Source organism: Homo sapiens, chromosome 9, assembly GCF_000001405.40.
Source record: "Homo sapiens chromosome 9, GRCh38.p14 Primary Assembly".
Taxonomy (NCBI): Eukaryota; Metazoa; Chordata; class Mammalia; order Primates; family Hominidae; genus Homo; species Homo sapiens.
In genome coordinates, this window is record NC_000009.12 from 27,253,342 (window position 1) to 27,271,203 (window position 17,862).

The window sequence follows — 17,862 nt, forward strand, 5'->3', positions numbered from 1 at the left end:
AAACAAGTGGCAGAATTTCCTGTTCAGCCAAACTAAGCTTCATAAGCAAAGGAGAAATAAATTCCTTTACAGACAAGCAAATGCTGAGAGATTTTGCCACCACCAGGCCTGCCTTACAAGAGCTTCCAAAGGAAGCGCTAAACATGGAAAGGAACAACTGGTACCGGCCACTGAAAAAACATACCAAATTCTAAAGACCACTGATGCTATTAAAAAACCGCATCAACTACTGGGAAAAATAACCAGCTAGCATCACAATGACAGGATCAAATTAACACATAACAATATTAACCTTAAATGTAAATGGGCCAAATGCCCCAATTAAAAGACACAGACTGGCAAATCAGATAAGGAGTCAAGACCCATCAGTGTGCTGTATTCAGGAGACCCATCTCGCATGCAAAGACACACATAGGCTCAAAATAAAGGGATGGAGGAATATTTACCAAACAAATGGAAGGCAAAAAAAAAAAAAAAAAAAAAAAAAAAAAAAAAAAAGCAGGGATTGCAATCCTAGTCTCTGATAAAACAGACTTTAAACCAACAAAGATCAAAAGAAACAAAGAAGGGCACTGCATGATGGTAAAGGGATCAATGCACCAAGAACTGCTATCTATCCTAAATATATACGCACCCAATACAGGAGCACCCAGATTCATAAAGCAAGTTTCTAGAGATCTATAGAGAGACTTAGACTCCCACATAATAATAGTGGGAGACTTTAACACTCCGTTGTCAATATTAGACAGATCAACGAGACAAAATTAACAAGGATATTCAGGACTTCATCTCGGCTCTGGACCAAGTGCACCTAATAGACATCTATAGAACTCTCCACACCATATCAACAGAATATACATTATTCTCAGCACCTCATCGCACTTATTCTAAAATCTACCACATAATTGAAAGTAAAAGAATGCAAATCATAACAGTCTCTCAGACCACAGTGCAATCAAGTTAGAATTCAGGATTAAGAAACTCACTCAAAACCCTACAACTACATGGAAACTGAACAACCTGCTCCTGAATGACTACTGGGTAAATAACAAAATGAAAACAGAAATAAAGATTTTCTTTGAAACCAATGAGAACAAAGATACAATGTACCAGAATCTCTAGGACACATTTGACATATTTAAAGCAGTGTGTAGAGGGAAATTTATAGCAGTAAATGCCCACAAGAGAAAGCAGGAAAGATCTAAAAATCAACAACCTAACATCACAATTAAAAGAACTAGAGAAGCAACAGCAAACAAATTCAGAAGCTAGCAGCAGACAAGAAATAACTAAGATCAGAGCAGAACTGAAGGAGCTAGAGACACGAAAAACCCTTCAAAAAATTCAATGAATCCAGTAGGTGTTTTGAAAAGATAAAAAAAATAGACCACTAGCCAGACTAATAAAGAAGAGAGAAGAATGAAATAGACAAAAAAAGTTGATAAAGGGGTTATCACCACCGATCCCAGAGAAATACAGACTACCATCAGAGAATACTATAAACACCTCTACGCAAATAAACTGAAAAAACTAGAAGAAATGGATATATTCCTGGACACATACCCCCTCCCAAGTCTAAACCAGGAAGAAGTCAAATCCCTGAATAGACCAATAACAAGTTTTGAAATTGAGGCAGTAATTTACAGCCTACCAACCAAAAAAAGTCCAGGACCAGATGGATTCACAACCAGATTCTACCAGAGGTACAAAGAGGAGCTGGTACCATTCCTTCTGAAACTATTCCAAACAATAGAAAAAGAGGGAATCCTCCCTAACTCATTTTACAAGGCCAACATCCTCTGATACCCAAACCTGGCAGAGACACAACAAAAAAAGAAAATTTCAGGCCAATATCCCTGATGAACATCAATGCAAAAATCCTCCATAAAATACTGGCAAACCAAATCCAACAGCACACCAAAAAGCTTATCCACCATCATCAAGTGGGCTTCATCCCTGGGATGGAAGGCTGGTTCAATATATGCAAATCAATAATCGTAATCCATCACATGAACAGAACCAATGAAAAAAACCACATGATTATCTCAATAGATGCAGAAAAGGCCTTCGACAAAATTCAAGACCCCTTCATGCAAAAAGCTCTCAATAAACTAGGTATCGATGGAACTTATCTCAAAATAATAAGAGCTATTTATGACAAACCCACAGCCAACATACTGAATGCGCAAAAACTGGAAGCATTCCCTTTAAAAACCGGCACAAGACAAGGACACCCTCTCTCACCCCTCCTATTCAACATAGTATTGGAAGTTCTGGACAGGGCAATCAGGCAAGAGAAAGATATAAAGTGTATTCAAATAGGAGGAGAGGAAGTCAAATTGTCTCTGTTTGCAGATGATATGGTCATGTATTTAGAAAACCCCATTGTCTCAGCCCAAAATCTCCTTAAGCTGATAAGCAACTTCAGCAAAGTCTCAGGATACAAAATCAACGTGCAAAAATCACAAGCATTCTTTTTTTTTTTTTTTTTTTTTTGAGACGGAGTCTCGCTCTGTCGCCCAGGCTGGAGTGCAGTGGCGCGATCTCGGCTCACTGCCATTCTTATACACCAATAACAGACAAACAGAGAGCCAAATCATGAGTGACATCCCATTCACAATAGCTACAAAGAGAATAAAATACCTGGGAATCCAACTTACAAGGGATGTGAAGGACCTCTTCAAGGAAAACTACAAACCACTGCTTAAGGAAATAAGAGAGGACACAAACAAATGGAAAAACATTCCATGCTCATGAATAGGAAGAATCAATGTCGTGAAAATGGCCATATTGTCCAAAGTAATTTATAGATTCAATGCTATCCCCATCAAGCTACCACTGACTTTCTTCACAGAATTGGAAAAAACTACTTTAACGTTCATATGGAACCAAAAAAAGAGCCTGCATAGCCAAGACAATCCTGGGCAAGGAAAACAAAGGTGGAGGCATCACGCTACCTGACTTCAAACTATACTACAAGGCTACAGTAACAAAACAGCATGGTACTGGTACCAAAACAGATATATAGACCAATGGAACAGGACAGAGGTCTCAGGAATAACACCACACATCTACAACCATCTGTTCTTTGACAAACCTGACACAAACAATGGGGAAAAGATTCCCTATTTAATAAATGGTGTTGGGAAAACTGGCTAGCCATATGCAGAAAACTGAAATTGGACCCCTTTCCTTACACCTTATACAAAAATCAACTCGAGATGGATCAAAGACTTAAACGTAAGACCTAGGACTATAAAAATCCTGGAAGAAAACCTGGGCAATACCATTGAGGACATAGGCATGGGCAAAGACTTCATGTCTAAAACACCAGAAGCAATGGCAACAAAAGCGAAAATAGACAACTGGGATCTAATTAAACTAAAGAGCTTCTGCACAGCAAAATAAACTATCATCAGTATGAAGAGGCAACCTGCAGAATGGGAGAAAATTTTTGCAATCTATCCATCTGACAAAGGGCTAATATCCAGAATCTACAAGGACTTCAACAAATTTACAAGAAAAAAAAAACCACCAAAAAATGGGCAAAGGATATGAACAGACACTTCTCAAAAGAGGACATTTATGCAGCCAACAGACATATGAAAAAATGCTCATCATCACTGGTCATTAGAGAAATGCAAATCAAAACCACAATGAGATACCATCTCACGCCACTTAGAATGGTGATCATTAAAAAGTCAGGAAACAATAGATGCTGGAGAAGATGTGGAGAAATAGGAATGCTTTTACACTGTTGGTGGGAGTGTAAACTAGTTCAACCATTGTGGAAGACAGTATTGCAATTCCTCAAGGATCTAGAACCAGAAATACCATTTGACCCACCAATCCCATTACTGGGTATATACCCAAAGGATTATAAATCATTCTACTATAAAAACACTTGCACACTTATGTTTGTTGTGGCACTGTTCACAATAGCGAAGACTTGGAACCAACCCAAATATCCACCAATGATCGACTGGATAAAGAAAATGTGGCACATATACACCATGGAATAAAAAATGATGAGTTCATGTCCTTTGCAGGGACATGGATAAAGCTGGAAACCATCATTCTCAGGAAACTATCACAAGAACAGAAAACCAAACGCCGCATGTTCTCACTCATAAGTGGGATATGAACAATGAGAACACATGGACACAGGGAGGGGAAAAACACACATCAGGGCCTGTTGGTGGGTGGGGAGCTAGGGGAGGGATAACATTAGGAGAAATACCTCATGTAAGTGACAGGTTGACGGGTGCAGCAAACCACCATGGCACGTGTATACCTTTGTAACAAAACTGCACGTTCTGCACATGTACCCCAGAATTTAAAGTATAATAACAATAATAAAAAGATCTTAAGCTGGAAAATGGAATACTGTCTTCTATCTTTAGTATAAGGAAATGCCACAAATCTTCTTTCCAAATATACAATGGGGAATAAAAACTTATCTTATGTTTTATTAAAGATGACTATTCATATGTTTGACATGTACAAAGCACTTTCCTATATTTTAGCATATCTGATTTTCATAGTCACTATGGGGTTGTTACTGACTCCATAATTTACAGCTTAGAGCATCTAAGAGACTTGCTCAGAAGGTCACAGCTAGTAGAACTTTCCAGGTCTTGTAATTCCAAATTCTGTTTTCCCCACTTTTTAGCACTGATTCTTATGTAAAGGAACATAAGTCCCTATAAAGATTTTATTGTCTCTAGAAATGATTTTGCCAAAAGCATTAAAGCTTTTATGCTGATTATTTTTCACTCACATAATTTCAGCAATTTGATGAGTAGAATTACCACTATTTGTATATTTTAGAAATTTGACCGATAAAAAGACACTCAGGACAGTTCCTGGCTCCATCGCTCTAGGTGCGTGAACTTAACCAATTCACTAACTCTTCTCAGCTTTAATGGCTTCATCTGAAAATTTGTGAACAACCAATGCAGCACTGTGTCGTCAAGGAATAAGGCCCTGGAAACCCTTCTACCAGGTAGACTGCTACACAATCATTCAGTCATAATAACCACAGTAAAGTAAAATATAAAACCAACATACCATCTCACAACTTACTGCAAACACACGGTGATTACCATCAGCAGGTGGGAACTTGACAAAAGTCTTCACAAAGCCCTTTAGGTTTTCTTTGTGGTCATGAACATGAAGCTGAAACAAACATTGTCAAATAAATTACTGTTTTTTCTAAGTACAATTAGGCTCATAAAATGTCATCAACTGAAAATTAGTTAATTTTTTCAAAAGCTTATCCATCACCAAGGCCTGTGTTGGAGGCTACAACTTGGTTTCTGAAACAGGCAGCACTTTGGGTGACAAGTCCTACCTTGGCGACCTGACACCGGGGCGATCCAAGGAAACCTCCACAACAGCCGTATTGAGATTCAAAGCCACTGAGGACTGTAAACCAACCGAAAAAATAAAAATCAAAACAAGCTTTACAAGGCAGAGTGACTAACTCTCATGAACATGCATTTTCTTTGACCCTTAAAGAGCTTTAAGGACTCTACTGTGCAAATATTTTTAAGTCACCTCTCTTCAGTTACTTTTTTAGATATTGCATAATAGACAAAAATCTATTCCGATAAGCAGAGTTCTCACGGGCCATGCTTGAAGGTGAATTATAATTGCTAATGTTGTGAACACCTTTCTTCCCCTCTTTTTATCATTTGCCCTGGCCCATCAGCTCTCCTCTGGCTTCCTTACTTTATCCTGCATTGACTGGTTTGACAGTCAAACCACTTCAATCATCCTCTCAACATCTACTCTTACTCCCTGACCTTTTCTTTCTGCTAGAACCTTCTGTATGACTAGTTCCAACTACCACCTTCTCCATTCCTGTATCCAGATTTTTATCCAACCCAAGAAAAATCACCCAGTTATGCAGACTGAGACCACAATACAGATGTTGGCTCCAACCTTGGCTGGACCTTCAAAGTCCTGATGCCTTCGGCTTTTGCATCCTTCGCCAGACACCTTGCACGTTCTTCGCAGCAATAATCTCAATACTTCATATCTCTTTTCTTACCCTACTCCTATCATCCACCTCATCCATACCCTTACCTACCCTGAGCCCTTCTGTCTGGCCCTAGGAAATATTCTCCCAATTGCTCCCTAACAAGTCCCTCTGCCTCCAGGGAGTTTTTGCACTAGTTTTTGCACTAGTTTTTCTAGTAAAAACTGCCATACAAAGCCCTTTCTACAAAATGGTAAGAAAAGCTCAGGGTGTAAAAGTAACGTGCCCGGGAAAGCAAGCAGCAGAACAGCCCCAACTCTCAGCTCTGCTGGCTCCGAAGTCCCTGTTCTGCCCATTATCCTGTATGGTCCCATCAGCCCAACTGGTTTGTTTGCTACACTTATTCTTCCTCAGCATCTTCCCTCCTTGTTCGTCTTCTTGGAATTCACAGTCTCCCACTTTCCCAAACTAAGCCCTCCATGCTTTAAAGATGGATTGAGCTTGTCTGATTTACTTGATGACATTATTTATTCATATATTTTTCCTCCCATGGTTCCCCTCTATTTCCTTTTTATAGGATTTATTACAATATTATCCATAGTTATGTCCACATCTACATAAATAATTTACCTGTTCACCCATCCAAATGTTTACTGATGGCTTGCGTGTGTCAGAAACTGTGCTAAGTGCTGGGGGAACATGGGGAGAAAAAAATGTTGGACAGTCCCTCCAGAAGCTTATTTTTTGAAGATGGTGGACAGATTACTAACTCATTACAAAATATAATTAACTGCTATAGAAGAAAGAGACAGGGTGCTGCAGAAGAGGGAGGCCCTATTTAGAAAGTACGGTCAGGAAAAGACCTTGAGGATGTGACAATTAAGCAGAGACCTCCAGGTTAAGAAGGAATTAGCCATGTGAAAAGTCGAGGATGCAGCAGGCAAGAAGGCTCCAGAAAGGTGGGAGAAAGTGTGGTGTAAAGACAGCAAGGGAAAGGGTGGAAGAGGGGGCAGGGGCCAGATCAGAGAAGCAGGAGGTTTGGGATATGCTTTTGACACAGAACAGTGGGACTCGCACACTGTCCAGATGAAAGGGTGTACAAAAAGGAGGCAGTGAGGATGACACCAGGTTTCTTGGTTAAGCAGGGGAACAAATACACCTAAGTGGACTATAGGGAATTGAGGGTGCTGGAGATGATCCCAGGGTGGGGAGAGGATCACAAGCTCATCTTCATGCAGGTGATGCTGTGGTACCCGAGGGAAACCCACATAGGCAGGCAGATGGATATTCAGCAAAGCTGGGAGTCCAGGGGAAATGTTTCTTTAGAGATACACATTTAGGGGCTAACAGCAGTTAGAGGCTGTTGAAAGCCATGGGAAAGAATCAGTTCATCTAGGGAGAAGGGGGATATGGAGAGACAAGGCTCCCAAAGCTCTGAGAATTTCTGCCACTAGAGGCTGGTAAGGAAGAATATTCAGCAGAGGAGGTTGAAAGGAAGTAGCTGGAAAGGGAGGAAGAAAGGCAGAAGTGGGTGTTGTTACAAAAGCAGAGAGGAGAATACTATAAGGTAAGACAGTACTGAAAAGATAAGTCAAGTGACTCAGAAACAAGTCTATTAGATCCAGCAGCCTCGAGGTCACTGATGTGAGCTTCAGTGGTGAGTGGAGAGTAAAGCCAGCTAGCATAGACAACTCTTTGTTGTGCATGAAGCATATGCAACAGGCGGAGAAATGAGAGTAGTTATGCAGCAAGAGACCTGGGACCATGGAGGTTTAGTTTGCTACAACAAATGAGAGATACCAGAATGGTATGTCGAGAACATGCTGATCTTATAGAGGAGAGTCTGGTGAGTCCCTGAGTAGGTGCTGGAGGACAGGCAGAGAAATGAGAGTAGCTATGCAGCAAGAGACCGGGACCATGGAGGTTTAGTTTGCTAAAACAAATGGGAGATACCAGAATGGTATGTCGAGAACATGCTGATCTTATAGAGAAGGGGAGTCTGGTGAGTCCCTGAGTAGGTGCACGAGGACAGGATACAGAGCACATGGAGAGGAACTGTGACGGGAACAGGGATGCTTCCTCCATCATGACTCCAGAAAGGAGCAGATGTTGGTGAATCTACTGGGAGGGAAGAGCAGGGCATTATTTCGCAAAGGCTTTGTTTTTTCAGTAAAGTATTAGGCAAGGTCACCTGCAAGGAATTGAAGCAATTAGCAAACAAACAAAAACTACTGCAATGTTGGCATGTGGAAAGGGCAAGGTCAGGAGGCAGCTGACTGACTTAAGGTCTTAAAAAAAGAAGAATTGTCATAGCCTGAGGGTTCTTGAGCCAATGAGCTGCAAGGGTAAGTCAAGTGGTGGTCAGATGCAGGTATCTACAATAAAGGTTTTAGAGTTGATGTAGTTTTTTCTTTATTGGACTGTACTGAACATTGAACTTAATACTTCATTCCACTTCTCTGAACAGCTGGCTTGTCAAACCAAACAGAACTACCAAATACTTACCTTTATGACTCAACACTCCGCCAAATTGGTAGTTACATTCTTCTACCCTGCTGTGTCAACCTGAGGGAGTCACACCATATATTTTTCCACATCGACAACAGAGCTTCTTAGGTGCCGAAACAAAACATGAAGTAGGATTATTCCAGATGAGATGGGAGAGAAAAGGTAAATGAGCCAATGTGGAGACTTGCCTTTGCATGCTTGATCCTGTGGGAAGCACATACCCAGTGTGATTACAGAGTAACAGGAGAAGCTACAGGATCACTCAAGGGAGAATTTGCAAGTGGCTTGCTTATTGCACCAGGGCTGCTGCTGCTTAAACAGGCGCCCCCTCCCCCCTACCTAGCTCCAAAGTCAGCCCAGTGCCAGCCAATTGTAGTTTTAGTGTTACAACTTGACTGTAACCAACTTGACCAGTCAACTACTCTAGTACATAATAGCTCCCTGAAATAGGAGCCATGTCTTCCTTATGATTTTATCCCTTCAAGAGTCTCCCACAATAAACTGTACATTTATTATTAAGTTATTAAGAGTATATCTGCGTTTTTCACTAGACCCATTCATGAATATTTGTTTTATTAATAAACCTCAGACTGGTTCTGATAGTGATAATAATGGTGATAACAGCAACTCTTATTTGAATATCCATGATGAGATTAGATTATGAGGCAGGCTCTGTGTCAAGCACTCTATATACATTATTTTAATGGATTCTCACAACAACCTGATGGGGTAGTTATCATTATCCTCATATTCAGAATGAGAAAACAGAGGGTAGGAGGGGTTAAATGACTTATCTAGCATCCAGACCTTGAATAACACTTCACTGAGAAAACAGCCTTTAGGAAGCCTGACTTCCCCCTTCAGAGTCCATATTCTTACCTGCTAAGTGTATTGCCTTCCATTGAGGGGATGTGAAAAAATAAAACAAAACGAGAAAAGCTAATAGTGAAGATAATCCCAAGGGAGAAGTCCTAAAGATGCAGAAGATGACAAATATTTTCTAGTCACTGTAGAATATTTGTATAACTGCATTTCATACTCTGATCATCAACCTAAAGTTTGACAGCTGTGATGTTTAGCATTCTCTCTCAGTGGGGATGAACATATTAACTAATTATGCCTAGTATTTGGAGAACATGCAAAATAAGACTAATTATAAATCTTTGTATAATAATTCACAGTGAGAATTTATAGTTTTCAAAACATGGCATTGTATATGTAAATGAATAGTGATGAAGAGTAGGAGCTCAGGAGTTGGACACCTTGGCTTCAAATCCTGGCTGTCCCACTTATTTTCTGTGACCTTTGACAAGTTATTTGAATTCTCTGAACATCAGTTTCCTCATTTGTGTAATCAGGGGAATAACAATGCTTACCTGAAATGGTTGTTTTGAGGACTTAATAAAGTAGATCACTTAGATAAAATTAAGCACCTAGATAATTGAAATGAAAAGGGAAATGAAACACAGTGCAAAAATGTTTTTATCAGTGGTATAACTATGCTGACCAAAAAATCTCATTTCCACTAAAATAATTATACATAAACATATATATAAACATATATAAAAACATAAACATATATATATATTTATCAGAACACTGGGCCCCCTAGGTTTCAGTCTTAGCATGTAGAAAGGGTAATTGTGGGCCCCATCTACTTACCATCATTTCCAAGTTTTTTTCATGCCTAGGTTTAAAAGAATACTTCCTGGTTTGTTGGGGTATGGTCTAGGGTAGTTATTTTTGTGTAGCTGTTCCTCAGTTAGCAAGTAGTTTTTAAGATGTCTATAGAGAATAACTCCTATGAGCACTAAGAAAAAAAGAAAAGCTATTCCATAAAATTTATGTAGCATTATCTTTCTTTACATTGTGGTAAGGTTAGAGTTTACCAACCCTTTCAGATCTGAAATGCTAGGGTTCTGATTAAGTAAGGTAGTGGCCTAAAAATTCTAGGTCTTCATATCCATCATCCAGCAACACCAACAAAACCGACATTGTTCCGTATACCATGTGACATCATACGCTTTGGGTGAGAGAAGGGAAGAATCATATCAGTAATAGCATATAGTAAGCATAGCACTTTGGTTTAAACTTTACATTAACTTAGAAAGGCAACTGCATTGATTTCATTTTTACAGATGAGGAAAATGAGGCTCAGAAAAATAAAGACACATGCCCAAGGTTACACAGCACAACTGACACACAAACCCAGGCCTTCTGGTTCCAAACTATGCGGTTATCCTTAATATTCAGACAAGGATACAACAAATGCTTATAATCAAGGACCACAGAGGGAAACACGACAAGTCTCTCATGGCAAAAGAGTTCAAGTTCAGGTTCCATTTCCAACATCACTAACCCAGACCAAGAGCCCCTCATTTTTACGGATTCTTTTAGAATTGTATCTATTTTCTTATTTAAAACTCTAACAGAATTTGCTAGATACTCTTTGGTAAACGCTTTGGCAAAAGGAAAAATTATTTTGTGAGAAGTATTAGGAGATTCAAAAGGATCTATTTTGTTTTCATTCTCATATGTAAGGCTTTATTAGAGGAGAAGCACTACCATTTGCTTTTATTCAAAATGTAGCCAAAGTCTAATAACTCCTTTTCTGTAGCTTCTTGCTCCTTGGAGTTTGTTATAAATTCAGGGTTTGAGATCCTTCCCAGACCTACTGAACCAGATTCTGCATTTTAACAAGAGTCCCGGGTAATTCAAACCCATGGAAAGTTTGACATTTGAGAAGCATTGGTCTTGCTGACTGGACATACGTTAACCAAAAAAGAAAAATTAACACATGCTAATCAAAAAAGCAAAATAGTTGAGAATTCAATCCAAATATAGCTTAAATGTAAGTTCTTTCCCCTTATTTATACTTTTTTTTTATTTTACTTGAAATTCTGGGATACATGTGCTGAACGTGCAGGTTTGTCACATAAGTATACATATCTCAGGGTGATTTGCTGCACCTATCAACCCATCATCTAGGTTTTAAGCCCCACATGCGTTAGGTATTTGTCCTAATGCTCTCCCTCCCCTTGCCTCCCACCCCGACAGGCCCCAGTGTGTGATGTTCTGCTCGTGTCCATGTGTTCTCATTGTTCAACTCCCACTTATGAGTGAGAACACGCAGTGCTTGCTTTTCTGTTCCTGTGTTAGTTTGCTGACAATGATGGTTTCCAGCTTCATCCATGTCCCTGTAAAGGACATGAACTCACTCTTTTCTATGGCTGCACAGTATTCCATGGTGTATTTGTACTGATTTTTTAAAAGGATATCAAAAATGCATAGTATGCAGTTGACCCTTCATAAACATAATAATTTAATATTTGTACTATACCAGGGTTACTTTCCCCTTAAGGTATCAATTACAGGGCTTATTACTATTATTACAGTAAGCTTACCATTTTTGTGTTCCTTCCCCCACTCCCCCCCCCCCCTTTTTTTTTTTGAGACAGAATCTTGCTCTGTCACCAGGCTGGAGTGCAGTGGCGCGATCTCAGCTCACTGCAACCTGTGTCCCAGGTTCAAGCAATTCTCCTGCCTCAGCCTCCCGAGTGGCTGGGACTACAGGTATACAACACCACGCCCAGCTAATTTTTGTATTTTTAGTAGAGACGGAGTTTCACCATGTCGGCCAGGATGGTCTCGATCTCTTGACTTCGTGATCCACCTGCCTCGGCCTCCCAAAGTGCTGGGATTACAGGCGTGAGCCACCGCGTGTGGCCTATTTTTCTGTTCCTACTCTCTAAATTGTTTTCTTGTCATTACTGCTTCTAGGCACGACTAAAAGATACAAGAAATTCTCTGAAATTAATGATTATTCTTGTCTGTTCCATAAAAACACATAGCACATTAAAAAAGATATAAGCATGGTAAAATATTTATTTTTATCTTAAAACAAGTATCCAACATGTGAGTCCAAATGTCTTCATAACAAATTCCAAGCTGGGAAAAAAGTTAAATCTACTGAACTATTAAAAATGTCAAGACTTGATATTTGCTCAAATTAATACATTTTGTATAATGGATTATGTCTAAATTTGAGTCAATATGTTTTATATTATAATTTACCACAACTGTAACAACTTGCAAACCATTTCTATTTTCATGGGAAATATTTAAAACAGATACTAAGACCTCTACGTTCCATTTCTATGTGCTATATTTAATATGAATAGAAGGGGGAAGAGTTAGCTTAACCTGAAAAGACTAACCTAACAGACCCTGCATATATTAACACATGTATTTAAATCTATTTAAAGAGGTCGGGCGTGGTGGCTTATGCCTATAATCCCAGCCCTTTGGGAGGCCGAGGCAGGCGGATCACCTGAGGTCAGGAGTTCGAGATCAGCCTGGCCAACATGGTGAAACCCCGTCTCCACTAAAGATACAAAAATTAGTCAGGCGTAGTGGTGGGCACCTGTAATCCCAGCTACTTGACAGCCTGAGGCAGGAACTTAGGAGGCGGAGGCTGCAGTGAGCCGAGATCACACCTCTGCACTCCAGTCTGGGTGACAGAGTGAGGCTCTGTCTCAAAACAAACAAGCAAGCAAGCAAACAAACAAAACCCAAAAACCCCTAAAGTGTCATACATAAGAAATGCCACAAAAATCATAGATTGATAGTTTATGTTCTTGAGATTGGAATAGTCTGAGACAAAACCCAGAAATCAAAGAGACTGATTACACTTTGCAATCACATCTATCTAATAATACTTCATAAATAAGGCTGAAGAACAAACGATAAACTGAGGAATGGATTTGCAGCACATTAAAACGGTGATAGGCAAAGGTTGTTCCAGATGAACAGACCAATAAGAAACGGGGGAGTGGGAGGAGGGATGCAGAAGAGAGAGAAAGAAAAAAAAAGAACCGCTTTAACTCTGCCAGTAATAAATTTTTTTAAAAAAGACTAACTTCAGGCCAGTAGTGGTGGCTTATGCCCGTAATCCCAACACTTTGGGAGGTCTACGTGGGAGGACTGCTTGAGCTCAGGCACACGAGACCAAGCCTGGGCAATGTGGTATAACCCCATCTCTACAAAAAATACAAAAATTAGCTGAGTGTGATGGAGTATGCTTGTAGTCCCAGCTACTCAACAGGCTGAAGTGGGAGGATCCCTTGACCATGGGAGGCGAAGGATTGAACCCCTGCACTCCAGCCTGGGCAACAGAGCCTCACCGTGTCTCGAAAAGAAAAGAAAAAAAACTAACTTCATTTTTGCTCTACACCATTGCAGTCTGACAGAGGCTAAATGATAAGCTTTGGCAAGGTGTGAGAAAAACACATATACTTCTACTTTATCGAAGGGGAATATAAATGGGCAAACTCTTTGGATGCAGTTAGCAATATTTACCAGTTTCAAACACGCAGACCCTTGCTTCTGCGCACAGGAATTTGTGCTAGGATACATATCATCATGTAGGAGAAAATGTTAGAGGTTACACTTAAATTTATCACAGAATATATAGAAAAATATTTTTTTCTATGTGAAATAATCATCTACAAAAGTCAGAGAAAAAAATCATATATGAAAAAGTCATATAGGAAAAAATGTAAGCACTCCAAATATCCAAATGTGTTTGGGCCACCACTACGCCCGGCTAACTTTTGTATCTTTAGTATAAGTTCTATAGAAAAGAATATCTATCGTATAGATTCTACATAATAGAATATCGTAGCCATTATAAAAAGCATGATATAGATCCAGATGTTAACAGATTCTAGATTAACTGACAAGGCCTCTGATACCTTATTCAGTGAAAATAGCTAGACATACTGTATATATAAAATTATCATATTCACTAAAAATTTTAAAACTATATACATCTCTGTAGTAATACATAGAAAGGTCTAAATAAGAAATATGAAAGAGTTGTCTTGGCTGCTTTTTACTCTTTATGTTTTTCTATATTATTTGAATTCATGCCATACATTCTTGATGGAACTGATACTGCCCACAAGGGAGCAAAATTGACTCTTGAGGGATGAAGAAAATCTTAAATACTATGATGGTATATGGTTCTTCAAAATTCAACCTTACCTAATAAAATCTTATCCCTTGGCACTTATTTTTTTTTATTATTAGTATACTTTAAGTTTTAGGGTACATGTGCACAATGTGCAGGTTAGTTACATATGTATACACGTGCCATGCTGGTGTGCTGCACCCATTAACTCGTCATTTAGCATTAGGTGTATCTCCTAAAGCGGCACTTAATTTTATGAAGGGGGAAGAGGGAGGTGATAGAAAAAATAATGTCTGCAAAGATTTCTTAGGGGGACGATAACGAAAACAAGGTTGAGAAATGCTATTCCGCATAGAAGTGAGTTACTTTCATAACCAGAAAACAAGTTTAAATATTTCAGTGATAACCTCTGACAATAAGGTTATAGTTATACATCCAATTTCAAATGCAGCTGATTTTCAACCACAAGTACCACCTACACATTCCACTAAAGAGACTATTTAAAAAATAAATTCCTTGGTATAAGCTAAAGATGGCCCTACTAATGAGAAAAAGTATTCAGGGTCAGGTACTAATTACAGGTTTTATCACTTGATTAATTGAAAAAAATAAATTACCTTGATCTCTTAGCTTCTTAAGATAATTTACTGCTATGTTCACATACATATTTCTCCTGCTACACCTTTCATATATTGCCTTTTTTTCTATTTTAGCCTAGGTCAAAAATTGAATAATTAAATATTAAGCCAAAAGCCTATGAACAGGAAATGTCATTTGCAATATAATGAATATGGCAAAATATTTATGTAACTTAATGAATGGGGGAAAACTGTGCCACCAATGAAAAGCAACTTATTTTCCATTTTGTGTTTGTTTTTTAAGAAGAAAAAAAAAAAATAGTCCGGGCATGGTGGCTCACGTCTGTAATCCTAGCACTTTGGGAGGCCGAGGTGGGTGGACCACTTGAGGCCAGGAGTTTGAGACTAGCCTGGCCAACATGGTGAAAACACATCTCTACTAAAAATACAAAAATTAGCCCGGCGTGGTGGCAGGTGCCTGTAATCCCAGCTACTCCGCAGGCTGAGGCAGGAGAATCGCCTGAACCTGGGACGTGGAGGTTGCATTGAGTCGAGATCACACCACTGCACTCCAGCCTGGAGGATAGAGAGAGATTCTGTCTCAAAAAAAGAAGAAAAAAAACAGTTCTATGACTCCAACCCAAGAACCAGATACTCTTGCTTCATAGACAAAAGGCTACTGTATATTGGTATACGGTATATAGTGCAATACCTATACAAAGCTGAGAATATACATCAATTCATTTGATTCTCACAGCCAGCCCCAAATATACCAGAGGCATATATTACTATTTCCATTTAAAAGAAACTAAGGCTCAAAGTGGTTAATTTGCTTAGGATTACACAGCAAATGGAGGACATGATCTTCATTTTTTCTTCTATAAAATTTACCTTCCTGAAACCATTACATAATTATTTTTATACCAAGGGTCATTAAGTCAGTAAAAGGAAAAGGAATGAAATATGAAAGAAACAAGCAAATGGAGTGTTATGATAATAAATATTAAATATATTATTAATTTATATACCTAGTATATGCAGGTTTGTTTTAAGCATATTAAATGTTTTCTCATTTAATCTTCATTATGACTGTATGAGAATGGGTGTCATCACTGATTTATATGATGAAACTAGGCTTGAACAAAGGAAACATCTTGCTTATTGTTACAGAGCTGGTAATTGAACCTAGGTGTACCCAAATGCCACCAAGACTCTTCTCATTACACTAAATCATCAGAGATAAAGCCATGGGAGGTTAGAGGGAGTAAGGAAGAAAAGACACATGATGAAAAAAGACAAAGCTGGAAGAAAATGAACAACACATAAGAGGCTCATATTGTCCCTTTTTATTTTTGCCATTATTCTTTAACCTACATAGAATCCTAGAGGACACAGACTTCTGGAATAGTAGAGCGAGAACCTTCATGAACTTACTGTCCCACAAAAGCAATAAAAATATTGGCAAAACAACTAAAAATCAACCATTTCAAAATTCTAATAACTAAAGCCACAGAACAAACTGAAAATTGTCTAAGAGAAACTACTGAACCTTGGTAACACAGTGGGTTCTGTGAAATTCCTACCTCCCTTCCCTTCCCAGCTTAGTGGCGCCACGGTTGTGAAAGGTTGGCCCTGAGAGCCAACAGAGTAGACATATCTTTTTTAGAACCATACTAAAAGCATTATTGCTAGAGCACTATCAATATTCAAACAAAAAACCAGTTCCCTGAAAAATCTCTATTCCTAGGGTGTTGTGGGTATTTGATTTGACTCAGAGTTCAGAGTATGGAGGGAAAAAACCCTATCTCCAGGGTGCAACTGAAACAATAGCAATATCCTGGCAATATCACAGCTAGCTAGGGCTATGGTTTTAGTCTGGCAAACAATAGTTTGGCTAGGAATTTAAAAGAAACTCTTGGAGAACTAGATGACCCTAGAGATTTGTAAAGGCTCTGACATAATCCTGGGTTTAACAAGTGTTCCATTTAAGACCTGGGAAAAGAGAAAATCCTATTCATTCACCAGTGGCCAACCTTGAGGCCCTGCACAAGCAGGAAGTGAAAGCTAAGGCTGTCTTATAAACCAAAAAATAAAAGAGGAGGGAACACTTTCCAATTTATTCTATGAGGTCAATATAACCCTGAGACCAAAAAAGAGACAGAATCATTACTGCAAAGAAAACTACAATCTCCATCCATTATTGAGTGAACAAAATGGATAACAAAAGTATGGTTATACATACCGTAAAGTGTTATTCAGTTGTAAAAATAAATAAAATTTGAATACATGCTACAACATGAATAAACCTTTAAAACATTATGCTAAATGAAAGAAGTCAGACATACAAGGACAAACAGTATATCATTTCAATTACATGAGATAAATAGAATAAGAAAATTCATAGAAACATGGCTGGGCATGGTGGCATGCACCTGTAATCCCAGCTACTTGGGAGGCTGAGGCAGGAGAATCGCTTGAAGCTGGAAGGCAGAGGTTGCAGTGAGTGGAGATTGCGCCACTGCACTCCAGCCTGGTGACAAAGTGAGACTCTGTCAAAAAAAGAAAAAAAAAAAAGAAAAGAAAAGAAAATTCATGGAAACATAAAGTAGAATAGAGATTACCAGAGACTGAAAGGAGAGAGGAATGGGGAGTTATTTAATGAGTACAGAATTTCTGTTTGAAATGATAAAAAAGCTCTGGAAATGGATAGTAGTGATAGTTTCATAACATTGTGAATACACATCATACCACTGAATTGTACACTTAAATGGTTAGAATGGTAATTTTATGTTACGTGTATTTTATAGCAATTTTAAAAAGTC

General features: G+C 38.8%; 1 pseudogene across 1 annotated transcript in view; it reads right to left on the bottom strand.

The window, feature by feature from the left end:
* REXO6P (RNA exonuclease 6, pseudogene) overlaps nucleotides 1–17,862 on the bottom strand; it is a 37,110-nt pseudogene that overhangs the window by 7,658 nt on the left and 11,590 nt on the right. The window contains exons 10-15 of the transcript NR_026679.1: nucleotides 15,080–15,176; nucleotides 9,868–9,924; nucleotides 9,371–9,462; nucleotides 8,489–8,695; nucleotides 5,354–5,427; nucleotides 5,071–5,178 (exon numbers count right to left, since the gene is read on the bottom strand). The product of NR_026679.1 is annotated as an RNA exonuclease 6, pseudogene (transcript). The remainder of the gene's footprint in view (nucleotides 1–5,070; nucleotides 5,179–5,353; nucleotides 5,428–8,488; nucleotides 8,696–9,370; nucleotides 9,463–9,867; nucleotides 9,925–15,079; nucleotides 15,177–17,862) is intronic.